Source organism: Homo sapiens, chromosome 4 (assembly GCF_000001405.40).
Source record: "Homo sapiens chromosome 4, GRCh38.p14 Primary Assembly".
NCBI classification, from domain to species: domain Eukaryota; kingdom Metazoa; phylum Chordata; class Mammalia; order Primates; family Hominidae; genus Homo; species Homo sapiens.
Genome location: NC_000004.12, coordinates 128,667,585 through 128,693,429, shown reverse-complemented (window position 1 = coordinate 128,693,429; position 25,845 = coordinate 128,667,585). Strand labels below are relative to the sequence as shown.

At 42.3% G+C, this 25,845-nt stretch overlaps 10 annotated features.

Moving 5' to 3' along the window:
* Positions 851-1,352: an enhancer, noted in NCBI's record as "H3K27ac hESC enhancer chr4:129613233-129613734 (GRCh37/hg19 assembly coordinates)". NCBI's record gives its function as "activates a minimal SCP1, AML or CMV promoter by ChIP-STARR-seq in primed H9 embryonic stem cells {active_cell/tissue: H9 hESC(primed)}" and the evidence as "EXISTENCE:reporter gene assay evidence [ECO:0000049][PMID:30033119]".
* Positions 6,344-7,081: an enhancer, noted in NCBI's record as "NANOG-H3K27ac hESC enhancer chr4:129607504-129608241 (GRCh37/hg19 assembly coordinates)". NCBI's record gives its function as "activates a minimal SCP1, AML or CMV promoter by ChIP-STARR-seq in primed H9 embryonic stem cells {active_cell/tissue: H9 hESC(primed)}" and the evidence as "EXISTENCE:reporter gene assay evidence [ECO:0000049][PMID:30033119]".
* Positions 6,344-7,820: a biological region, named in NCBI's record as "MED14-independent group 3 enhancer GRCh37_chr4:129606954-129608153".
* Positions 6,432-7,631: an enhancer, noted in NCBI's record as "MED14-independent group 3 enhancer chr4:129606954-129608153 (GRCh37/hg19 assembly coordinates)". NCBI's record gives its function as "activates an origin of replication core promoter dependent on BRD2, BRD4, P300/CBP and CDK7 cofactors, and independent of MED14, by STARR-seq in HCT116 cells {active_cell/tissue: HCT116}" and the evidence as "EXISTENCE:reporter gene assay evidence [ECO:0000049][PMID:35650434]".
* Positions 7,082-7,820: an enhancer, noted in NCBI's record as "NANOG-H3K27ac hESC enhancer chr4:129606765-129607503 (GRCh37/hg19 assembly coordinates)". NCBI's record gives its function as "activates a minimal SCP1, AML or CMV promoter by ChIP-STARR-seq in primed H9 embryonic stem cells {active_cell/tissue: H9 hESC(primed)}" and the evidence as "EXISTENCE:reporter gene assay evidence [ECO:0000049][PMID:30033119]".
* Positions 8,560-9,299: an enhancer, noted in NCBI's record as "H3K27ac hESC enhancer chr4:129605286-129606025 (GRCh37/hg19 assembly coordinates)". NCBI's record gives its function as "activates a minimal SCP1, AML or CMV promoter by ChIP-STARR-seq in primed H9 embryonic stem cells {active_cell/tissue: H9 hESC(primed)}" and the evidence as "EXISTENCE:reporter gene assay evidence [ECO:0000049][PMID:30033119]".
* Positions 9,822-10,116: a silencer, noted in NCBI's record as "tiled region #780; HepG2 Repressive non-DNase unmatched - State 24:Quies". NCBI's record gives its function as "represses a minimal TATA promoter and a strong SV40 promoter by Sharpr-MPRA in HepG2 cells {active_cell/tissue: HepG2}" and the evidence as "EXISTENCE:reporter gene assay evidence [ECO:0000049][PMID:27701403]".
* Positions 10,185-10,709: an enhancer, noted in NCBI's record as "OCT4-NANOG-H3K27ac hESC enhancer chr4:129603876-129604400 (GRCh37/hg19 assembly coordinates)". NCBI's record gives its function as "activates a minimal SCP1, AML or CMV promoter by ChIP-STARR-seq in primed H9 embryonic stem cells {active_cell/tissue: H9 hESC(primed)}" and the evidence as "EXISTENCE:reporter gene assay evidence [ECO:0000049][PMID:30033119]".
* Positions 17,949-18,038: an enhancer, noted in NCBI's record as "active region_21893". NCBI's record gives its function as "activates an Ori minimal core promoter by ATAC-STARR-seq in GM12878 lymphoblastoid cells {active_cell/tissue: GM12878}" and the evidence as "EXISTENCE:reporter gene assay evidence [ECO:0000049][PMID:35858748]".
* Positions 18,129-18,388: an enhancer, noted in NCBI's record as "active region_21892". NCBI's record gives its function as "activates an Ori minimal core promoter by ATAC-STARR-seq in GM12878 lymphoblastoid cells {active_cell/tissue: GM12878}" and the evidence as "EXISTENCE:reporter gene assay evidence [ECO:0000049][PMID:35858748]".

Genomic DNA, 25,845 nt, shown 5'->3' with positions numbered 1-25,845 from the left:
TCATGAGGTTCAGAAATTTGGAAAGGAGAGCTTTATCTTACATAAAGAATTGCAGCCTGTAGGGTGGCCCATTCCGACAGGCTGGGAAGTGTAGCCTCCAGCCAGAAATCAGAAGCTAGCACTTCAAGAATTAGAAGAATAAGACAGGAATTTATGCTGAATGGCATAGCCAAATATACACATTTAATAAGCTATAGGAAGAGTTATGAATATTTATGAAAGGAGAAACATGTGCATGCACAATTGAATTTTATGCACCTTTGTGGGTCCCATGTTCAAAAAATGGTTTTGTTAGCCTGATCTGAGAGTAGTTTTTGGGCCTTTGATGGCAAAAGATGAAGCAGAGGACACGAAAACTTTCACTGCACATCCTCCGTAGACTGGCCAGAACAACTCCATGGCTGGTGGCCTCTTACCAGGAAGGAATACTGGTTATTTGTTGTGTTGAAAACACAAAAGGGAGGGACAGCATCAGGTGGTTGGTTGAAACCAGTGGTGCAGGGAGTCCTTTGAACTGGCTAATTTCTCATTAGCCCTTAGGGAAGAAAGCCTATATTGTGGTTAGTGAGAAAGAGGGTATAAGGAGGTATAGCTGACTGGAAACTAAGTTTCCATGGTTTCTCTCAAGTCACCTTTTTATTGATTTATTTTTGAGACGGAGTCTTGCTCTGTCACCACACTGGAGTGCAGTGGCGCAATCTCGGCTCTCTGCAACCTATGCCTCCTGGGTACAAGTGATTCTCCTGCCTAACCCTCCCCAGTAGCTGGGATTGCAGGCTCCTACCACCACGCCCGGCTAATTTTTGTATTTTTTTAGTAGAGACAGGGTTTCCCCATGTTGGCCAGGATGGTCTCGATCTCCCGACCTTGTGATCCGCCCGCCTCAGCCTCCCAAAGTCCTGGGATTACAGGCATGAGCCACCATGCCCGGCCTCTCTGAAATCCCTTTGACCAAGAGGGGGCAGTTCAGTTGGTTGAAGAGCTTAGGATTCATTTTTATTTCTCAGGTAGTGCAGACATTTTAACAATATGCCGGGCGCGGTGGCTCACGCCTGTAATCCCAGCACTTCCGGAGGCTGAGGCAGGTGGATCACCTGAGGTTGGGAGTGCAAGATCAGCCTGACCAACATGGAGAAACCCCTGTCTCTACTAAGAAAACATAAAAATTAGCCGGGGTGGTGGCCCATGCCTGTAATCCCAGCTACTCAGGAGGCTGAGGCAGGAGAATCGCTTGAACCCGGGAGGCGGAGGTTGCGGTGAGCCGAGATCGCGCTGTTGCACTCCAGCCTGGACAACAAGGGCAAAACTCCGTCTCAAAACAACAACAACAACAACAACAAAACAATATTAGTTCTTATAATGCACAAACATGGGATATCTTTACATTCGTTTCTTCTTTGTTTCATCAGTATTTTATGGTTTTCAGTGTACAGATCCTTCCCCTCCTTGATTAAGTTTTTCCCATTTTATTCTTTGTGATGCTATTATAAATTGCATTTTTTCTTGGTTTTCTTTTCAGATAGCTCATCATTGGCTTACTGTATTCTGAATTATTCCTCAGAAGAGGACTTGTTGGATCAAGGGGGTATAAAATTCTAAGGCTCTTGATTATAGAGCCATTACGTTTGCCAAACAGCTTTACCAATATACCCAATCACACCCTAATTGGCATTGGGTATTTTTATTTTATTTTAGTATTTTCCACTTTTGTGTGAGAGATGGTGTCTTGTCATAATTTAATTTGAGAATTCTTTGCATTAGTCTGCTCCTATGCTGCTATTTGAAATTTCAATATCTCATGCTCAGTTTTGTTTGGATAATCTTTCCTACTGGGCATGGATTTTAATATTTGACTGCTGGTGGTCATGATCCCTTGCCCCTAAGCCAAGGGAAATTCCTGGAGGCTCTAACACTGTGATCCTGAAATTTTCTGGCTCCTGATATTGCAGCAGGACAAGCCACAGACAAAACTCCTCAGACACCGAGTTAAAGAAGGAAGGGGTTTATTCGGCCAGGGGCATCAGCAAGACTCCTGTCTCAAGAGCTGAGCTCCCCGAATGAGCAATTCCTGTCCCTTTTAAGGGCTCACAACTCTAAGGGGGTGCGCGTGAGAGGGTTGTGATCAATTGAGCAAGCAGGGGGTACGTGACTGGGGGCTGCATGCACCGGTAATTAGATCGGAATAAAACAGGATAGGGATTTTCACAGTGCTTTTCTACACAATGTCCGTAATCTATAGATAACATAACCGATTAGGTCAGGGGTCGATCTTTAACTACCAGGCCCAGGGTGTGGCGCTGGGCTGTCTGCTTGTGGATTTCATTTCCTCCTTTTAGTTTTTACTTTTTCTTTCTTTGGAGGCAGAAATTGGGCATAAGACAATATGAGGGGTGGTCTCCTCCCTTAATATGAAAAAGAAGATCCAGATGAATGGGAAGGAACAGGTATTGGCTGGCACAGTTGAAGTTTTGAGCCAGGAAGATGGAACACTGCCCCAAGCATGTCAGGAGCCAGACATGGAAAAAACATGTTGTGACTAGAGCCTGGAGTCTGGGAAGAGATATCAGGGTTAACATGTAAAACTTCAGGGGTTAAGTTTCATATCCCAATTATGTTCTTTGTCATTAAAATAGGGAGAAAGAAAGTGAGTTTTCCAGACGTATGAACTATCTATTGGCTAATGTCTTTATTTTACAGTTGGATATAGCAAATGTCAATGTTATTTAATAAAAATAAAGTATGCTGAGAAACCCCTGGTTTGCTTGGTTTTGAGACTACTTTGCAGGCAACAAGTGGGGCAGAGTAGTTAGTCAACTTTTAGTAAGTGGTTTGAAAGTATTAGGAGTAAACCACCTGTTAACAGGGATATGGCAACAATTTATTAGCTCTTCTTGAGTCAAGCTTTGTTGGATGTAATATTAATATTTTCTGCATTACTCCAGTACCAAATCTTCCGTGATGATAATTTGAAACAAACAGACATATTAGGGGAAAAAAAAAGGAGATAGGGTAGGAAAGTGGTAACCACTTAATGGAGATCTTCTGTAAACATCATTACTGTTTTAAGGAATCTGTTAACAAAATCGTCCTGCCTGGCTGCTGTATTTGAAAAATAAGAACAAATCTCTCAGAAAGATTGTGAAAGACTTTGGAATGGTCAAAAGATTACTGAATATCCTTTCAGTGAAAAGATAGGCCTTGTCTAGAAGACCCTTGGGGCTTTTCTGATTTTATAAAGGTCTGTGCCTTTCACTGCCTTTGACTAGGCTACTTTACAACTCCGTAAGTTGTAGAAAACGGATAGTGATGCAAATGATCCTTATCCATAGAGATGCAAATGAATTTTGTCCAATAGAGATCCATTTGATTTTTCCCTTGTAGAAAAGATGATTCCAGCCATTACATTTTATTGGCCTATTAACAAGTTTTGCAGCTATTAGCAATTTTATTTCATCCTTTGTGATTGCCTATATACGTGTGTGTCTGTTCTTCCAATTTTTTCTTTAAACTTGTGACATCTTACTGGTTTTCTCATTAATAAAGGAGTTACATAAAATCTTTGGCACTTGTACATTTTATATTTGTAGGACAGTCATGATTTTAATTTAAAAATAATAATTATTTTTTTTTTCTCTTTTCTTTTCTTTTCTTTTTTTTTTTTTTTTTTTTTTTTTTTGAGCCAGAGTCTCTCTCTGTTGCCCAGGCTGGAGTGCAGTGACACTCTCATGGCTCACTGCAGCCTTGACCTCCCAGGGTCAAGCAATCCCCCCGCCTCAGCATCCTTAGTAGCTGGAACTACAGGCATGCACCACCATGCCCAGCTAATTTTTTGTATGTTTAGTAGAGGTGGGGTTTTGCCATGTTGCCCAGGATGTTCTCAAACTCCTGGGCTCAAGCAGTTCACCCGCCTTAGCCTCCCAAAGTGATCCACCTTGCTGGGCCCTTGAAATAATTATCTATTAACAATTCCAAGCTCAAGTAAATATATATTAATTCCTTCCAAAAACATTAATGATTTTTTTTTGGCCTGGGAGGCTCCAGACTTTTCTAACATCTGTAAAAGGAGACCAAGTTCCAGGACTCAAACAAGCCTCCAAAGTAGGCAGATCTCCCTCTCAGCTAATCTGCTGTAATGTAAAACCATGACTGAGGTTTGCCTAGACTACGGCTGACTATGCAGAGTTTCTAAGGACATGAGTCTAGCCATTGCTTGCCCATAAAAATCCTTACAAGTACTCAAACTGCAAGAGACAAATGAAGAAAAACAATGAAAGAATGTAAAATGCAATGATGGGATAGCAATAAAATTATAGACTTGACAGTTCCTCCCTTTCACACCAAGAAAAAGAGATGTTTTGAGTTGGTCTTGTTTGAAGCAGTGTTATCTCTCGTAGACAGCCTTGCAGCTGAGCACTAACTGGTTTTCCAGGGCTGAAGAGAGTTAAGTCATTTCTAAATGTCTTGAACTCATGTTTAGTACGGACTTAAGAAGAGAATAAGGTTCAGAATGACAGCATGGTTTCCAAAGTTTGGCTCTGAATGGTGAAATGTCTGCTGAAGGGGTTCAGAGCATGCCAATTCAATATATAACTGTAGGAGACCAGAATATGCCACCCCTAAATATGCCTTTTTGGCACAAGGATTATTTTCAGCTGGTTATTTTGAGAAACCACAGACATAGGAGAAGCTCTCAAAACAAGAGTAGAAGTTACCCTTTTGTAAGACAAATTTATATTTACAAAGGAAATCTCCATTCATAAGGGTGTCTCCCAATCTATATCAGGAGGAGAAGGATGACTAAATCATTAGAGGCTCTCCTAGATGGAGAAGGCACTGACTTAAATCTGCTTAACATACCTTACCCTTGTTTATCATACTTTTCCTGACCATCTCACCCTAACCATAACCGGCCTTTTCCCTACATCCTTTCTTTGTTTCAATAAATGTTAATATTTAAGCCTAAAGTTTCAACTGCTCCTTTGAGATCTACTCTAGAGATTTATTCTTGGAGATTTGATCTTTGAGAGTTCCCTCAGTATCTCCCATATATATAGGAGGCATACATGTTATTAAACTTTGTTTGTTTTTCTTTTGTTAATCTGTCTTTTGTTACAGGGAGTCCTAGTTAATAACCTTAGAGGGTAGTGAAAAAATTATTTTTCCTCTTGTACACTGCAGAAGCAAGAAATGAGGTCCAAAGGTGAACTAAGAGGGCACAAAAAGTGTAATATAAATGTCAGCCTCTGCCATTTCCCTGTAAGGGCCTCCTTCTGTAGTTTTGGGACAAAGATGAGTCTCCCGAGTCTTGGAGCTGTGTTTCCACAGACCCTTCTTATTACATTCTTTTTTTTCTTTTTTTCCTTTTCTTTTTTTTTTGAGACGGAGTTTCACTCTTGTTGCCCAGGCTGGAGCGCAATGGTGCGATTTCAGCTCACCGCAACCTCTGCCTCCCAGGTTTGAGCGATTCTCCTGCCTCAGCCTTCCCTAGTAGCTGGGATTATAGGCATGCGCCACCACGCCTGGCTAATTTTTGGTATTTTTAGTAGAAATGGGGTTTCTCCATGTTGGTCAGGCTGGTCTCAAACTCCCAACCTCAGGTGATCCACCCACCTCAGCCTCCCAAAGTGCTGCAATTACAGGCGTGAGCCACTGCGCCCGGCATTTTTATTTTATTTTATTTTATTTTTAAAGAGACGGTGTTTCCCTGTGTTGCACAGGCTGGTCTCCAACTCTTAGGCTCAAGGGATCCTCCTGCCTTGGCCTCCTAAAGTGCTGGGATTTCAGGCATGAGCCACCACACCTGTCCAGTACATCCTAACTGACCCAAAATCTATATAGTTCTGTCCACATGGTGTTACTAACTTCTCTTCAGTCTCAGTGGGGACTCACTAAGGAGTCCAGGCTCCAGACCATGTTGGTCAGACTCAACTGAAAAAAACTGCAATGTAGGAGGGAAAGTTTGTAAGCTGTTTGCTAAAGATGACTGTCCCCATAATCCTAGGAAAAGCTCCAAAATTAAACTTCATATTGAGTCTCTTCAGACATTCTCCAGATCCTAACCTAGTTTTCCAGCTCTTTGAGAATGTGCTACTCTCAAAGAAAGCAAAGTACGTTAAGAGCCCAGGTTGTGGCAGGAAACCATGTGGATTTTAAATCTCGGCTCCACTATTTGTTAGTTGTACTGTAATCTCAGGGGGTAGAGAGGAGGCTTCAATTCTGTGTATTGACTCTTCCATCTACAAAATGGGGACCATGATCCTATTGACTTCACAGGAATGTCGTGAAGTTTAAGTGAGTTAACTCAAATAAAACACAGAATAGTGCCTGGCACTAGTAAGTGCTAGATAAACATTAGCTGTTAAGAAGCAGTGTGTGACTAAGAGCTGGATTCAAATCATGACACACCACTTAGAAACTATGTGTCATATGGCAAGTTACTGAACTTCTCTGTGCACCTGTTACAGTAGGTAGCTAGGCAGGCATGAACAGGGTATGAGAGGGCCCCACAACCCCCAACCAGGAATGTCAGGCAACCATCAGGTGATGGCCAGGCAGTTGTTAACTGTCTCTCTAAAATAATAATTGTGGCTGGGCACGGTGGCCTGTAATCCCTGCACTTTGGGAGGCCAAGGTGGATGGATCACTTGAGGTCAGTAACAACCCCAGTTCCTCAACTTCAAAATTGGGAAACAGTAGAATCTAACTCACAGATCTGTTGTGAGGATGAAAGAGTTAATATGTGTAACTCTTTGAGGTCAGGAGTTCAAGACCAGCCAGGCCAATATGGTGAAACCTCATCTCTACTAAAAATACAAAAATCAGCCAGGTGTGGTGGTGGGCACCTGTAATCCCAGCTACTCGGGAGGCTGAGGCAGAATTGCTGGAACCCAGGAGATGGAGCTTGCAGTGAGTAATTGGTCACAGCCGGTGCCAGGGAAAGGCAGTCTCCCAATAGTTAGGAAAAACCTGAAACTGGTGATCAATAGCTTCCCGATAATGAGAGAGGAGGAAGGAAGAAACTGGTCAGGCAGGCAGTTAGGGTGAGTCCTCAGCAAAATTCTTTCAAACAAAAGAACAGCATGAAAAATCAAGCTGTGGGCACAGATAAGGGAACTTGCACAGGGGAGCTTGCCTAAGACATGTCCACAGCCACGTAGATAAGAAAGGCTACACAGGAGACTTGCCCAGACATGCTTTCAATGGAAAATTCCATCCCCTGACACATGCACAGTAAGGGGAACAAAGCAATATGGAGTAACTCAAGTTAAGGGCCCACATGCCCACTAGGAGGATGGGGTGGAGCTACCAGAAATTCATGTCTTATGCAAATGAGATGCCCAGCCCTCTTTGGTTTCTTATAAAAGACTTTGTGTTCAGCTGTGAAATGGAATTCCTCTTTTGGGCTCCCTCTCCGTGGTAGAGTTTTCTTCTTTCACTCATTAAACTCTCGCTCTAACCTCACCCTTCGTGTCCACACTCCTTAACTTTCTTGGTTGTGGGACAAAGAACTTCGGGGATACCTTGAACAACAAGACTGTGACAATAAGATCTCAGGAATTGGGTGAGTGGGCTCACCTATGTACACTAAGAGGCAAAATGGTAGAGTTTAACTGGTATATGACCTCCTAGGGACATTTGGCTGGTAAGGGAAGAAAGCCTCAGGTGAGCATGCATACAACTCCAGTAAACACACTGTGCATGCTCCCCTCCTAAGTACTAGCAAGCCACTGCACATGCGGACAGCCCACCCCAAGGGAAGAATCAGGGGAGAGAAACACAAGATCTCGAAGTATGCCAACGTATAAAACCCCAAGTCAAAAGGTCAAACCATGAACTTGATTTCTCAGGTCGCCTGTTTGACCCTCTTCCAAGGGTACTTTCCTTTCTTTCCACTCCTGCTCTAAAGCTTTTTTTTTTCTCTTAGACGAAGTTTTGCTCTTGTTGCCCAGGCTGGAGTGCGATGGCATGATCTCAGCTCACTGCAACCTCTGCCTCCCGGGTTCAAGCCAACACGCCCAGCTAATTTTTGTATTTTTAGTAGAGACGAGGTTTCTCCATGTTGGTCAGGCTGGTCTCAAACTCCCGACCTCAGGTGATCCACCCACCTTGGCCTCTCAAAGTGCTGGGATTACAGGTGAACCACCGTGCCCAGCCTAAAGCTTTTTAATGAACTTGCACTCCCACTCTAAAACTTGCCTTGGTCTCTTCTTCTGGCCTATGCCCCTCAGTTGAATTCTTTCTTCAGAGGAGGCAAGAACTGAGGTTGCTGTAGACCCATAAGGATTTGCCATCAGTAACATCCCCAGTTCCTCAACTTCAAAATTGGGAAACAATAGAATCTAACTCACAGAGTTGTTGTGAGGATGAAAGAGTTAACATGTGTAAATTACTTCATATTAGCGCTGATTAAAAAGTTTATGTTGTATCAAGTAGTTATTACTACATTTATAATTATTAGATAGTGCTGTTTTTATGTATACTTCCTCAGTGCAAGCCTCCTTTAAGAAAACTCACCACAATGGGGGAGAAGAGACGGAAAGGGAACCTATAAATTAAAAGAGACATAAGAAAGATCAGTCACTCACATTGTACGACCCTTATTTGGATCCTGATTCAAACAACAACAAAATGTGTTAAAAAAAAAAAAAAAAAAAAAAAAAAAGAGGCCAGGCACAGTAGCCCCCTCTCTGTAATCCCAGCATTTTGGGAGGCCAAGGCAGAAGGATAGTTCGAGGCTAGGAGTTCAAAACTAGCCTCATCAAAGTAGGAAGACCCCTGTCTCTACAAAATAAAAATTTAAAAATTAGCCGGGCATGGTGGTGCATGCCTGTAGTCCCAACTGCTGGGAGGCTGAGGCAGGAGGATCATTTAAGCCCATGAGTTTGAGGCTGGAGGGAGCTGAGATGGCGCAAATGCACCCCAATCTGGCAACAGAGTGAGATCCTGTCTAAGAAAAAAAGACAGTTATAAGCTAATTGAAAATGCAATCATTGACAAGATACTTGATGATGTAGAGGAGGAAAAGTAACTTTCTACCCTTCTGAGTTCTTAATTGGAATGCACCCCTGTAACAAAAGAGATTAACAAAGGAAAAACAAACATCAGTTTAGCAATATGTATACCTTCCTGTCTCTCCAAAAAAAATTTAAGTGTCTCTGAATTCAGACTTAGCTATTATCCTCTGCTGAACAAAGAAAGAAGTCTCTTGGGACCAGTTATGGGGAGGTAACTGAGAAAAGCATGAAAAACAAGGGTAAGGTTTATTACGAAGATTTAAGTCAGTGACTTTCCCATTGACAAGAGTTTTTCTGTAATTTTGTCATCCTCCTCTTCCTGATACCGAGGAGACACCCTTACAAATGGAGATTTGCTTTATAAATGTAAATTTTTCCTAAGAAAATGGTAATTTCTACTTTCTTTTTAGAGTTTCACTTGTGCCTGCTATTTCTCAAAATAATCCTTATGACAAAAAGACATATTTTGGAGTGGCATATCTTGTCTCCTACAATGGTGTTGAGGAATTACTATTAATTTTTTTTAGGTGAGGTAAGAATGTTGTGGTCATGTAAAAGTCATTTTTTAGTCAAAAATGAAATCATATGATGCCTAGAATTTTCCTTAAAATTATGTGGGGGCAGGGGATGGGTTGGTGGGGGGATGTAAGTTTGTCCAAAGTTTGTGAAGTGGTGATGAGAACTCAGAGGTTCATTGATCTATTCTGTTTTGTTTTGTGTATGTCATAATTTTTTAAAATTAGGAGAAGGAAGATTAAAAAAGAGGAAGAGAAAGAAAAGAAAACTACACTAGGTTCTCATCTTAACCTGGGAGTCACCTCTGTCTTCCTGGCATCCGCACAATCAGTAGGACCCAGCAATCTCCCGCAGGACATTTTCTAAAGTGTAAGTTACTATGTCAAGAGCAGCATCATGACACCTGCAGTCGGAGAGCTGCAGGTAGGCTTTGCCACCCTGAGTTTGAACCACCTCAAGTTTTCCTTGCCAGTGTGAGGTGAAGACACACTTTCACATCCCTTCAGGGTATCCTCCAGTGTGTGTCTTTCGCATAGCACAATAACAGATGCACGCACACACACATACACACACACATTTTCCAAGGACAAAAACTAATTTTCAGAAATAGTAGAGTCAAAATTTGTTTTTCCATGTGCAAAATCGTTTCAGAGCTGCTTCTTCTCACAAAGGAGATAGCTCTCAATTGTCATTTTTATGCAGAACGATGTCAGTTCCCTTTGTCCTCAGACCGTCCCTGAGATCTTCCACTGCATAAGAAATGGGGTCCATTCCAGAGCCATCCTCCTCTCCATGGACTCCCTTAGGCTCACAAAGACCCGGAAAATACATTAGTATTTAAAGTTTGTTTTCTGTTTCCTTTGCTACTTTGTCCAGGCCCCTGCATCTTTCCATTGCAGAGATTACAGGGATACAGAAAGATGTGAGGGTTTAATCTCCTCTCCAGGCAAACCCCTGAGGTCGGGAAAGAGAGGAAAACTGTGGGGTGCAAGGGCGGGGAGACAGTTTGTTCTTTCATTCACAAGAAACATAATAGATATCACAGATTGTTAGATCTGAAAGGGCCTTAAAGATAATTCTACACCAACCCATTCAATTTTACACTGGAGAATGCTGCTTAGACACTCAAAGGGAGCATTTGTCTTCCACAGGGTGCTTATAATACATATTTAAAGACTTCACAAAAATTTGGCTCATAATTAAAATGTTAAAAATGGAGAAAATAATATTCTCTTTTGATTTTTTATCACTAAATTACTCTCTTAGCCTCCACCTTTAAAAAAATGATTTTACATACACTTAAATATTTATTATAACTTTTAATTTCAAAATTATCTCCCATTTCCTTGTTGCAGAAATCCTTCAGGCAAACACGCTGAAGGATGCAGCTTACCAGTGGCTTATCAAGGGCCAACCAGGGAGCAGTCCACCCCCCAGCATGGGCAATAAGGGGGAACCTTGTCAAGAGAAATTAAAAACTATAATAACGCCAACGAAGAGTTGGTCTGCTTTTCATTATCACCATTCTCTGCAATTCTAAACAGTGTCACTGATAAAAGTGTCCTCCCTGAAAAAAATCTTTTGTTGGTCTAAAATCTAAACAATTGCTGCAGTTTCTGTTGAGTTTTAATATATAAATAAGCTTCAAATTAGCACATTTTTATTACATTTCCTTTCATAAACGTTGTATTCTACTAGAAATGAATTTGAAGAACTCCCATTTATCCAGTTAGCCTTCAACACACATGGGCTCAGTGTCACAAGTCTGTTTTAATAGTAAGACCTCTGATGCCTGTGGTCCTTCATATTTCTGCATTTAAAATTGTGATGAGTAATAAATAATGATAGCACAGCAATTTTAAAGATAAAGAAATAGGACTTAAGTTACTTCAATTCTGCCATTTGATGCAACCACTTTGTTTTTATTTGTGCAGTATTTTTGTTAACTGCAAATTTTGGTTTATATGTGAAATATTTTACTGAATTTGAATACTTTAAAAATTTATTCTTTTTCAATTGTTCATTGCTTTAAAACTAAAAATAGTTTTTTAGTTTTAAAACTATTATACACCTATAATCCCAGCACTCTGAGAGGCCAAGGCAGGCGGATCACCTGAGGTCCGGAGTTCGAGACCAGCCTGACCAACATGGAGAAACCCCGACTCTACTAAAAAAAAAAAAAATACAAAATTAGCCGGGCGTGTTGCCACATGTTTGTAATCTCAGCTACTCAGGAGGCTGAGGCAGGAGAATCACTTGAACCCAGTGGTAGAGGCTGCAGTGAGCCAAGATCGTGACATTGCACTCCAGCCTGGGCAACAAGAGCAAAACTCTATCTCAAAAAAAAAATTAATTAATTAAAAAAAAATAAAAAATAAATCGAGAAAATAAAATATGATGTCAGTGACACAATTTAGCAGTTAGCTAAATACCTTTTACTGAAATTGTGGTTTTATTAAAATTTACTCATTAGTTACTAGAAAATTTTTACATATTATTAGACTATAACCAACAGATGAAAGTTCAAACTATTAGGTAGATATAAACTTTCAAAATGACCAAAAATGTTGTTTTTCTGTTGCCAGAGAAATGAAAAGGGGAATGCTGGAAGCCCCGTCATTTTCACCAAGATCTGGATGCTCACTCTAAGCAGTGGATCAGAGGATGCCAATATTTGTGATAATTCAGCCATTTTCTTGAATATTTGCCAAGAAGAAAAACTTTAAAATTTTTCACGCCAGGCATGGTGGCTCATGCCTGTAATCCTAGCACTTTGGGAGGCTGAGGCGGGTGGATCACTTGAGCCCAGGAGTTCAAGACCAGCCTGGACAACATTGTGAAACGTCGTATCTACAAAAAAATACAAAAATTAAGCAGGCATGGTGGTGTTCGCATGTAGTCCCAGCTACTTAGGAGGTTGAGGCAAGAGGATTGCTTGAGCCAAGGGGAGGTTGTAGTGGTTGCAGTGAGCTGAGATCACGCCACTGCACGTTAGCCTGGGAGATGGAGCAAGACCCTGTCTCAAAAAAAAAAAATTTTTTTTCACCAAATATGAAATAAATCTATGATGAATTTTCTGTTTTGTTTTGTTTTATTTTGAGACAAAGTCTCGCTCTGTTGCCCAGGGTGGAGTGCAATGGCACGATCTCGGCTCACTGCAACCTCCGCCTCCCAGGTTCAAGCAATTCTCCTACCTCAGCCTCCCAAGTAGCTGGGACTACAGGCATGTGCCACCATGCCCAGCTAATTTTTGTATTTTTAGTAGAGATGGGGTTTCACCATGTTAGCCAGGATGGTCTTGATCTTTTGACCTCATGATCTGCCCACCTTTGCCTCCCAGAGTGCTGGGATTATAGGCATTAGCCACCGTGCCTGGCCAAATTTTCTGGAGATCTTTTAGTGGGAAATATGTGACTGTGGAGATGCTTGAAAGCCATTAGAATCAATCCCAGAGAAACTAAGACATAGAATTTATTGCAATTTCTGGCATTTACTGTGAAATGACATTTTTTTATAAATCTCTGCTAAACTCATCCTTATTTTTAAGACTTTCCCTAACTATATCTGTTACTTCATATGAAATTAAAATCAATCAAAAATGTTCTTTGATTAACTATGAATGAAGATAGATTTAGAAATCTGTTTTAAATACCTGTTAAGCATGAGTGTGTAAAGAAGATCAGTTTTCATAAAACCATTTACACATTAGATGACTTTAGCAATAAACCCCACCACAGGGACCCAGAGTTGGACAGTAGTAGAATGGTGGTGGCAGTGGAGGCTAAAAGGGATTCTACAAGACCTTAGAGAAAACAATACTTTATTTATTCATTTATTTATTTATTTTATCTTTTCGAGACAGAGTTTCGCTCCAGGCTGGAGTGCAAAGGTGCAATCTCGGCTCACTGCAGCCTTCACCTCCCAGGTTCAAGCAATTCTCCTACCTCAGCCTCCCAAGTAGCTGGGATTACAGTCACCCAGCACCACACCCAGCTAATTTTTGTATTTTTAGTAGAGACAGGGTTTCACCATGTTGGGTAGGCTGGTCTCGAACTCCTGACCTCAAGTGATCCACACGCCTCGGCTTCCCAAAGTGCTGGGATTACAGGCGTGAGCCACCACACCCAGCCTGAGAAAACAACACTTTAAAGACATCTAGGCCTGGTATGGTGGCTCACCCCTGTAATCCCAGCACTTTGGGAGGCTGAGGCGGGTGGATCACAAGGTCAGGAATTCAAGACCAGCTTGACCAACATGGTGAAACCTCGTCTCTACTAAAAATACAAAAATTAGCTGGGCATAGTGGAAAGTGCCTGTAGTCCCAGCTACTTGGGAGTCTGAGGCAGAAGAATCACTTGAATCCGGGAGGCAGAGGTTGCAGTGAGCCGAGATGACACCACTACACTCCAGCCTGAGAGACACAGCGATACTCCGTCTCAAAAAAAATAAATAAAAGAAATTAAATAAATAAAGACATCTAGCTAAACCAAATGAGAATTTGAGAGGGGGTGGGTTTTCTGCACAGTGGTGAAGAATGGGCCAGTGAAATATTGTTTTGTCAATGTTATCATGACTTTATTTTTATCACAGATTGGTATGTCCTAGAGAAATGTTGATAACAGTTATTTTCTTTCTCTTGCCACAAAGGAAGGCCCAGAGAGAAGGTCCTCCTAGAAAGCAGAAGGCTTTCCCCCACCTTCCACCATGCCCACTGTCACGAGGATTTGCTGGGGCAAGTGTTTACTCATCTGGTAGGGGAATCCACTCCTTTCTGCACAGGTGCAGAGCTTGCCAAATGCCGCGGGGCTTCCCTCTTTGCTAAAAGGCCAGAATTCCCTAAATCTCACTCCAGGCTCCAACATTATATCTATCACTTTTCTTTTTTTTTTTTTCCAATATAGGGGAAAAGGGACCTTTCCTTTCACCCTCTGACATTTGATAATTTGAGTCTATGCAATAAATTTGACAGTAGACAGATTAACAGGAAAAAAGGCATACAAATTAATACATGCATATACAAGGGGGTCCCACAGAGTAAAACACTCAAAGAAGGGCCAGATGGTTGAAACTTTTTTTCTTCTTGAGATGGAGTCTTGCTCTGTCACCCAGGCTGGGGTGCAGTGGCATGATCTCAGCTCACTGCAACCTTCATCTCCCAGGTTCAAGCAATACTCCTGCCTCAGCCTCCTGAGTAGCTGGGATTACAGGTGCAGGCTACCACACACAGCTAATTTTTGTATTTTTAGTAGAGATGGGGTTTCACTATGTTGGCCAGGCTGGTCTTGAACACCTGACCTCAGGCGATCCACCCTCCTCGGCCTCCCAAAGTGCTGGAATTACAGACGTGAGCCACTGCACCCAGCCTGGTTGAAACTTAAATCTGCATTTGAACTACAGAAAGAAATAGGGGCTGGGGCTTTTGGAAGGGAGGTGGTGACTCAAGCAATGGAAGGGTAAGGGGTGACTCAAGCAATGGAAGGGTAAGGGGAAGAACCACACTGTGAAAAACGGTTGTTTTGTGATGCAGATAAAGTCTCTAGGATAGCAACCTTCAGAAGAATAGGTAAAAAGTCCATCTCGGTTTGGAGACTTTTAGTTTCTTTTCCTGCTGGTTAATCTCTGGTTAATGTGGATTTCAGGGAGAGGGATCCACACAATTATGTTCCTTCTGGAAGAACTTCCCTCCCTGCATTTCAGGAGATACAGAGATGGAGAGACAGGGAGATGAGGGAAGATCAAAGAGACCTTGGTTCTGAAGCTGATTTTTTCTTTTTTTTTTTTTGAGACGGAGTCTTGCTCTGTCGCCCAGGCTGGAGTGCAGTAGTGCGGTCTCGGCTCACTGAAACCTCCACCTCCTGGGTTCACGCCATTCTCCTGCCTCAGCCTCCTGAGTAGCTGAACTACAGGCACCTGCCACCACGCCTGGCTAATTTTTTTTTGTATTTTTAGTAGAGACGGGGTTTCACCATGTTAGCCAGGATGGTCTTGATCTCCTGACCTTGTGATCCGCCCGCCTGGGCCTCCCAAAGTGCTGGGATTACAGGCGTGAGCCACCGCGCCTGGCGTGAAGCTGATTCTTTGGTTCAAAGTACTCAGCATATCAAAGCACCATACTTTGGGGTATCATTTTCTGAGCCCCAACACTGATGTCTTTGCAAACATTTTCAAAATCTATCATTCTTGAGAGTACAACCCATGTAAAGTCCATCCACCTTGTGGCTCCATCTTAGCAAAAAAACACTAGTCCAGTCTCCAAAAGTTGCTGAACATTAGTTAACACCTTTCTGTAGAATTTTTTTTTTTTTTTTTTGAGACGGAGTTTTGCTCTTGTTGCCCAGGCTGGAGTGCAATGGCATGATCTTAGCTCACCACAACCTCCACCTCCCGGGTTCAAGTGATTCTCCTGCCTCAGCCTCCAGAGTAGCTGGGATTACAGGCATGTGTCACCATGGGCAGCTAATTTTGTATTTTTAGTAGAGATGGGGTTTCTCCATGTTGGTCAGGCTGGTCTCGAACTCCCGACCTCAGGTGATCCGCCTGCCTCAGCCTTCCAAAGTGTTGGGATTACAGGTGTGAGCCACAGCACCTGACCCTTTTTGTAGATTTTTAAGGAAAATGACTCAGGAGTTGGGGTAATATTAATAACACTCAGTAAATGTTTTAAAATTTTCTTTCCATAACTCTCCATTTCCTATATATGTTCCAGCTGCTCCCTAAATCTTTCATTTCCTCTTTCTCCAAACTCCCCCAATTTTTCCTCAAATCCAGGGCATACTAACTTTGGTAACATCCTCCTGTCTTTTGTCATATTCCAGAGCCATTCACTTCTGTGTGGCTGTAACCTCTGGCTTTCCCAATCAAGCAGCTATGGTGCTCTCCTTGCCCAAATCCATGAATCTGCACTCAAGTCTGGGAAGTAACTTTGGCCACAAAAGGAATTCCATCTTATAGATAGAAGAGGAGAGGTGATGTGAGCTCCTATATATTAACATCTCTATCTGTTCAAGAGCTTCTCCAACTACTTTTTTCTGTTAAGTAAACCTGTCTGTGAGTAAAATAAACAAGGAGTTGATTCAAATTCTGCTGTGTGAGGAGAGAATCTTCCAGTTTTTGAGGACAAGAGAAACTAAATTTTATGGTGATTTACCCGTAGCAATTGAAGATCACCAAGAGAGAAGACTTTTATTTTTCTGTTTTTGGTGTGTTTTAACTTGTTTTCATTTATACTGTTTTGAAGATGGATTGGGAGGAGGAGAGTGAAGAATGAAAAGCTCTATGTTAGAGGAATCTATATGTGCAGTTTCCTTATTAACTGTATGTGTCATCCTCAGAGATGCTGCATGACCTGGTGAAAGAACACGGGCTTTGGAGATAGATACTCATATATTTGTACTTATGCTTGAATCCCATCTCGGTTACTTTCTACCTGAGTATAATTTATAGCATGACAGTTATTATCAGGAGCACAAAGGAAGCACTGTTTTCTGTAAATGAAGATAAGAACTGTTTTGCAATATTATTGTGAGAACTAATGAAATAATTTTGTAAAATGCTTAAGATAGTACCTGTCATATATTTAATATTTATTTATTATATTAAATTTATTATTAAATAATAATAATATTTAATCATGGCAGTCTGCAATCATGACAAATTCTGATAATAATAGCATTTAGGATGGGCATGGTGGTTTATGCCTGTAATCCCAACACCTTGGGAGGCCAAGGAGGGAGGACTGCTTGAGGCTAGGAGTTCAAGACCAGCCTGGGCAACATAGCAGGGCCCTGTTCCTACAAACAAACAAACAAACGAATAATCAAAAAACGTAGCCGGATGTGCTGGCGTGTGCCTGTAGTCCTAGGCTGAGGCAGGAGGATCATTTGAGTCCAGGAGTTCGAGGCTGCAGTGAGCTACGATCACACCACTGTACTCCAGCCTGGGTGACAGAGTGAGACTCTGTCTCTAAAAGAGAAAGAAAAAGAGAAAGACTAATAGTTTTTGTTTGTTTGTTTGTTTGTTTGTTTTAACTGGAGTTGGAGGGCTTCTGCCAAAATTTTCTGTTTCTAACTTTTTTTGGTTTTTTGTTTGTTTTTATAAAATATATTTTATTTTTAAAATAGACAAAGTCTTGTTCTGTTGCCCATGCTGGCTTGAAATTCCTGGGTGGGCGTGATCCCCCTAACTTGGCCTCCCAGAGTACTGGGATTACAGGTGTGAGCAACTGCACGTGGCCTGTTTCTGACATTTTTAAAGTTAGTCTTAATACTGTTTTATGCTGGTTTTACTTTAAATATATATATATAGAATAAAAGCAATTACTTAACAAATGTCAGTGACATGCAAATATATAATTAATAAAACTTCTTATATCTCAGTGGTTGATGTCAATAACCAAATAACCAAGAATTTGAATAATCTCTTCTAGGTAACTGGAAGTGACCTTCACTTACCTGTAATTTACACATTCTCACCAGCTCCTCTCCTACTCCCTTCATCATGACCACCAAGGAGAGCTAGAGGACCTTAGAGAGGAGGCTCAGAATAGTACTGCTTTGATTTTGGCAACATGCATATTGTTTCTTCAGCTAACTCAGCATGCTTGAGATCATTTTAACAGCATAGTGTTCTCATGTGGTTTCAGTAGAAAAAGTCCCTATGTAAAAATAGCACCTTCTTCCTCAGCATGTCTGCTCCCTTTAATGAAAATAAGGCTTTAGCTTAGACTGAGCCAATGCAGCTATCAAGGCGTGAGCTAAAATCTCATCTGCTTCAAATGCTGTTAGCCAAATTCACTAACAATGGTGCTTACAGTCATTGCCAATAAGAAAGACAATGTAGTCAGAGTCATGAACAATACAGGATAATTCATACCCAATACACAATATTTAAACAGCAGTTTTCTAGAATGAATCCCCAGACAACATGGTCAATGAGAAAAGTCACAATTGCTTTACAAGAATATTTATGGTGGCCGGGCACGGTGGCTCACGCTTGTAATCCCAGCACTTTGGGAGGCTGAGGCGGGTGGATCACCTGAGGTCAGGAGTTGGTGACCAGCCTCGCCAACATGGTGAAACCCGGTCTCTACTAAAAATACAAAAAATTAGCCAGGCGTGGTGACAGACACCTGTAATCCCAGCTACTCGGGAGGCTGAGGCTGGAGAATCACTTGAACCTAGGAGGCGGAGCTTGCAGTGAGCCGAGATTGCGCTACTGCACTCCAGCGTGGGCAACAAGAGCAAAACTCCGTCTCAAAAAAAAAGAAAAGAAAAGAAAAGAAATATTTATAGTAATACAAACAAACCAAAAAGGAGGAAAAAAAAAAGAATCAGGAGCATTCACAAATTCTTATCCAACCCATTTAAGACAAAAAGAGTTTAACTAATATAATTTAAGCCATATGGAAACCTAGTAGTAGGTTGCTTCTTCTTAGAGTGGTGTTTCATTCATTCTTACTAGCCTGCATTCTATCACACCATGTTCCATTTTGGGATTGGGAAACTTCTATGTCCATTATTGATATGAAAATAAAACAGAGATAGGCCAGGCGCGGTGGCTCACGCCTGTAACCCCAGCACTTTGGGAGGCCCAGGCAGGCATATCACAAGGTCAGGAGATCGAGACCATCCTGGCTAACATGGTGAAACCCCGTCTCTACTAAAAATAAACAAAAAATTAGCTGGGCACGATAGCGGGCACCTGTAGTCCCAGCTACTCGGGAGGCTGAGGCAGGAGACTGGCATGAACCCAGGAGGCGGAGGTTGCAGTGAGACAAGATCGCGCCACTGCACTCCAGCCTGGGTGACAGAGCGAGACTCTGTCTCGAAAAAAAAAAGAAAACAGAAAAAAGGAATAGTTTTATTTTATATATATATACATACTACACATATATATATATATATATATATTTTTTTTTTTTTTTTTTGAGACGGAGTCTCGCTCTGTCACTCAGTCTGGAGTGCAACCACACGATCTTGGCTCACTGCAACCTCTGCCTCCCCGGTGCAAGCAATAATCCTGCCTCAGCCTCCTGAGTAGCTGGTATTGTGTCCGGAATTGGTGGGTTTTAGGTCTCACTGACTTCACGAATGAAGCCGCGGACCCTCACGGTGAGTGTTAACAGTTCTTAAAGGCCGCGTGTCCGGCGTTTGTTCCTTCTGATGTTCGGATGTGTTCGGAGTTTCTTCCTCCTGGTGGGTTTGTGGTCTCGCTAGCTTCAAGACTGAAGCTGCAGACCTTCGCAGTGAGCGTTACAGCTCTTAAGGGAGCGCGTCTAGAGTTGCTCGTTCCTCTTGGTGGGTTCGTGGTCTAGATGGCTTCAGGAGTGAAGCTGCAGACCTTCGCAGTGAGTGTTACAGCTCATAAAGGCAGTGTGGACCCAAACAGTGAGCAGCAACAAAATTTGTTATAAAGGGCGAAAGAACAAAGCTTCCACACTGTGGGAGGGAACCCGAGCTGGTTGCCACTGCTGGCTCACGCAGCCTGCTTTTATTCTCTTATCTGGCCCCACCCACATTCTGCTGATTGGTCCATTTTACAGAGAGCCGATTGGTCTGTTTTACAGAGAGCTGATTGGTCCATTTTGACAGGGTGCTGATTGATGTGTTTATAATCCCTGAGCTAGACACAAAAGTTCTCCAGGTCCCCACTAAATTAGCTAGATACAGACTGTCGATTGGTACATTCACAAACCCTGAGCTAGACACAGGGTGCTGATTGGTGTGTTTACAAACGTTGAGCTAGATACAGAGTGCCGATTGGTGTATTTACAATACCTTAGCTAGACATAAAGGTTCTCCAAGTCCCCACCAAACTCAGGAGTCCAGCTGGCTTCACCCAGTGGATCCCGCACAGAGGCCAGAAGTGGAGCTGCCTGCCAGTCCCGCGCCATGCGCCGGCACTCCTCAGCCCTCGGGTGGTTGATGGGACTGGGCGCCATGGAGCAGGGGGCAGCGCTCGTCAGCGAGGCTGGGGCTGCACAGGAGCCCACTGTGGCGGGGGAGGCTCAGGCATGGCAGGCTGCAGGTCCCGAGCCCTGCCCCGCGGGAAGGCAGCTAAGGCCTGGCAAGAGGTTGAGCACAGCAGCTGCTGGCCCAGGTGCTAAGCCCCTCACTGCCCGGGGGCAGCGGGGCGGGCTGGCAGCTCTGAATGTGGGGCCCGCCAAGCCCATGCCCACCCGGAACTCACGCTGGCCCACAAGCACTGCGCGCAGCCCCAGTTCCCGCCTGCGCCTCTCCCTCCACACCTCCCTGCAAGCTGAGGGAGCCGGCTCCGGCCTCGGCCAGCCCAGAAAGGGGCTCCCACAGTGCAGCCGTGGGCTGAAGGGCTCCTCAAGTGCCGCCAAAGTGGGAGCCCAGGCAGAGGAGGCGCGGAGAGTGAGTGAGGGCTGCGAGGGCTGCCAGCATGCTGTCACCTCTCAGTGTTATAGGTGCGCACCACCACACCTGACTAATTTTTGTATTTTTAGTAGAGATGGGGTTTCACCATGTTAGTCAGGCTGGTCTCCAACTCCTGACCGTGTGATCTGCCCACCTTGGCCTCCCAAAGTGCTGGGATTACAGGCTTGAGCCACTGCACCTGGTCACTTTTATATTTTTAAAGAAAGACACAGCTACACTTTAATAAATTATCCTGGAAATCATAGTTTTAGAACATATTCTCAGGTCATCAGTGTTCTTTCTTATTAACTTCAGAATCTGATCCACATCAAGGTTAATGACTTGATTAATAATGCTTATCAGAGTTCCCTCAGAAGAGTGGCACCATGGTGGGAGGTACCGCTACAAATATATACAGCTCTGCTACTGTCAGTATAATCACTATAATCACTATAGTCTATCAGTATAGTTCAATCAAGGAATTTGGCACAGGCAATAAATGTAAGGATGTCCATCTTATGATCAACAGAAATTTGACTTTCATTGAGAGAATCTACTCATAGAACAGACAGAATGTTATCAGTAGCCTAGTTTGGATCCTAGAAGTCTCTAAGCTCTTTTACCGGGGAGAGAAAAGGAGAACTGCAATTTTATTTTGTGATCTATTCTCCCCAGAAACCAGACTCTTCTTAAGGGAAGAATGTTTCTTTTTTGCAAACCCTAAGATACCTTTAGCAGAAACTCTTTGAAAGTCATTTGAGGCTGTCAGATACCTCTTATTTATTACAACAAACAGAGATGTCTACAGCCGCATTTCCTTTGGTGTTATTGCAATTGTCACTGGGATATCAGTGGCTGTCTGCAATGCTATCCTTGTAGATTGCATATCAGCATCTGATTGGCCCTTTTATGTACTATTTCAAAGTAATATAGAAGGTGTCCTCTGTCAGCTAAGAGAGACCACAGTGACTTGCACACAGTAGGCATTCAGCAAATGTTAATTAACCCGTCACTACCTCCCTTCACCACCCCCAGCCTCTTTTAGCTGTAGGAAAATGTAGAATCAAATGACCAGGCTGAAAGAGCATTATACAGTGACCAGCACTATCTTTGTTTCCAGCCAAAATAGATTTCAGAGGAACTATACATAAAACATTTGGGTGGAAACAGTTAGTGGGCCATTTCAAAAATGAAGCCAAAATTTGAGAAGAAATTTAGGAACTGAGGATACAGATTGTGAGATCATTTACCTCGAAGTTTGTAATGAAGCTGTAAAAGTGAATGAGTTTATGGAGATCACGTAAGAAAGAAAAGGGTGAGGACAGAGCCCTACACTTAATCGTGGAAGGAAGAAGAGAGCCCTGAAAAGAAAATAGAAAATCAGTCAATGAACTGGAATAAAATTACTTGTATTTTCTTATTTACTTATAATAGAAACTGTAAGAAGTGAATTTCCATAAAGGTTGTGTTAACAACTACAAAACATTCAAGGTAGATAAAGACTGAGAAAATGTAATCGATGATTGGGAAGTTGCTAGTTAACCTAGTTACTAGAATAGTTGCTGCCGAAACCAGCTTGCAAGAATTAAGAAATGAATCTAGGGCAAGGAAGTGGAGGGGATGAGAAAAACAACTCTTTCAAGAGTTCTGATGGTGGTAGGAAAAAGAGCATTAGTTCAGCGTCTCAAATGAGTGGTGGAGCCAGGAGTTCCCATGTGGGGCCCTTGCTGAGCCATGACATAAGTACTATGAATATGAATGTGGTAGATTGCAAAATGAGTGCAAAATCCTTCCGTGTGTTTATGTTCCTTTGCACTGTGACTTTGTAGCCCCTCCCATCAAGATATGGAGTCTATTTCTCCCTTGAACTTAGATTTGGTCACATGACTTTGCTTTGGCTGCTGGGACATTAACAAACGTGACGTAGTAGAGGCTTAAAAAGTGCTTGCATAATGGTGTTCACCTTCTCTTGTCCACTTTGTGAACAAATTTAGGCTTGTCTGCTACAGAGAGATGGCCTGGGGAGCATGGGAAGAAGGCTCAGCTCTTCCAGCTAAGACCCCAGACATGTGAGTGAGTTGAGCCCTAGTTGAACCTACTCAGATTAGGAAAATTGTCCAGCGAGCCACAGAATGGTGAGAAACAAACAATAAATGTTTGTTATCATAAGCCACTACCTTTTAGGGTAGTTTGTTACACAACAAAAGATGTGATACAATGAGATTTCTTTCTCTGGTGCCTATTCTCTGGACACACTTCTGAAGTAATGATATGAGACAAGAGTGCTGGGTGGCCGGGCGTGGTGGCTCACGCCTGTAATCCCAACACTTTGGGAGGCCGAGGCGGCACATCACAAGGTCAGGAGATTGAGACCATCCTGGCTAACACGGTGAAACCCCGTCTCGACTAAAAGTACAAAAAATTAGCCAGGCATGGTGGTGGGCGCCTGTAGTCCCAGCTACTCGGGAGGCTGAGGCAGGAGAATGGCCAGAACCTGGGAGGCGGGAACTTGCAGTGAGCCGAGATCGCACCACTGCACTCCAGCCTGGGTGACAGAGCGAGACTCCGTCTCAAAAAAAAAAAAAAAAAAAAAAAGAAAAAGACTGCTGGGTGACATCATCTTAGAAAACAAGGACAACAAAAATTGCAAATACCAATAATATCCTATCTACCCTGTAATCAGACCCTAAAAATCATTAAGTATTCAGAATGCAGCTGTGATTGTAGATAAGTACCAATGTCAAAAAGTTTCAACATCAAGGAGTTCCCTGTCAAAAAGTCTATGTAATTTATTTATGGCACAAGCACAGGGTCATTTCTCTGTGTTCATATTATAACCTGCTGATAGAGAATTCTATATGAATATGGTGACAGTTTTTTAATGTTTGGTGCTGGGCATGGTGGCTCAATCCCAGCACATTGGGAGGCTGAGGTGGGAGGATTGCTGAGGCCAGGAGTTTGAGACTAGCCTGGACAACATAATGAGACCCCATCTCTACAACAACAACAAAAATAAGCGGGGCATGATGGTGTGTGCCTGTAGTCCCAGCTACTCGGGAGGGTGATGCAGGAGGATTTTTTGAGCCCAGGAGTTTGAGACTGCAGTGAGCCATGATGGCACTACTGCAGTCCAGTCTGGGTGACAGAGTCAGCCCCTGTCCTACCAAAACAAACAAACAAACAAACAAACAAACAAAAAGTTTGGTGATTTGGTTTCCACAGCAGCTATTATTTCATATAAAAGCTACAGATAATATATTAGGAGTGCTTTTGGTTAAAGCAGAAAGACTAGAAACCAGCACACACGTGGACCTGGGGCTGAGAGGAGAAGCTATCAGATGGTACCAGCAGGGAAGCCCATTCCCACCTCTGGGTCCAGGAAAGATTGCAGTGGACACACACAGAAGCCCTGTCTATTTCACCAACCCCAGAGGGCATCTTGAACCACTACCTAATAGTATAGCTGACGTTCACAGCAAGGACTCAGAGCCATCAAGAACACGTTAAATGATGTTCAGTATACGCTGTTTAATGAGGCTGAGAAGAATATAATTCATTTTATTACGATTTCCATGAAAATGGCTAAAGCTTATAAAAGTTTGGTGCTTATACTGTCTAAGCTTCAGTTCACTGGAAAACTCGATGCTTTGTGACTCCTCGCTTTCTGACGATACAGATTGGTGAGGTATTAATTTAGGCATATTCATTTGGCATTATAATGTATGCTAAGACTACAACACAACAATTATTTCCAAAGACAGAAAAGAAGCATTGTTCAGCAAATGGAGAGTAGAACAGTACTTTGTTCAAATTAGGAAATAGACGTTGATGTGACTTCTTCATGGTGTTTTTTTTTTTTTAAACATCTGTCAGCATTCAGTGACCTCCTCTGCTTTTAGTCCACATTTGCCTAGGGCCAGATATTATCATTAATCATTTTGCCCCTCTACTCAGCAACTCAGCAAGTACTGGATTGGCCTTTTGTCCTCTTTGTTCAGCAATTTCAGGCTTTATATCAGCCTCCATAGAGGGTCCCTCTTTAGCTAGCCTACGTCTTGAACTCCTAATCTTCCTCTATTCTTACCATTGTCCTCCCCACATGGCATAAGTACTGTCATCCCAGCTTATCACATCTAATATTTTTAATTCATGAAAGGCTAGCATATTGGTTTCTGTGTAGAGCACAATTAGTGGTTCTTCAGCCCTTCATACCACCTTGTCTAGTACATCATCCAACAGGTCTAGTTTAGTTGTATCCCAGGTTACAGGCATCCAGCACCCTGCTCTCTAATTCAAGGGTCATAGAACTGAGTGACAGACCTGTGTACTATAATATTCTCTTGGTGATTTTATTAAGTTTCAAAATGTTTCTATCAGTTATCTAACATAGTCTAACACTCTCCAAATACCAGCCCTGTACTATATGGGATTTTTACATTGGATAAAAGTATTTCTAGATGCAACATGGATTATTTTTTAAAAAGTACTGACTTTGGTGTAAGACTTAAGTTCTAGGCCTGTTTCTGTCTCATGGTAACTACATGATCTTTGAAATTTTCTTAACCTCTCTGAGCTTTAGTATTTATCTCTATAAGGAACTCACTGCAAGCATTATATTAGGGTTAATGTCACTGCAAGGGTTAACTCATTGCAAGCGTTAATTCATGTATGTAAAGCACCCAGTTTAGTTCCTAACACAGGGAAGATACTAATAAATATTGACCATTTTCATTTTCTCCCTTCTTCACAATCTGTCTCATTTGGGATATTATCCTTTGGATATTGGTTGCTTTTAACTAAGGCCCTGTATAACAAAACTTTTCCAATAATATTTATTCATTTATTTATTTATCTATTTATTTATTTATTTTTTGAGACAGAGTCCTGCTCAGTCGCCCAGCCTGGAGTGCAGTAGTAGGATCTCCTCTCACTGCAAG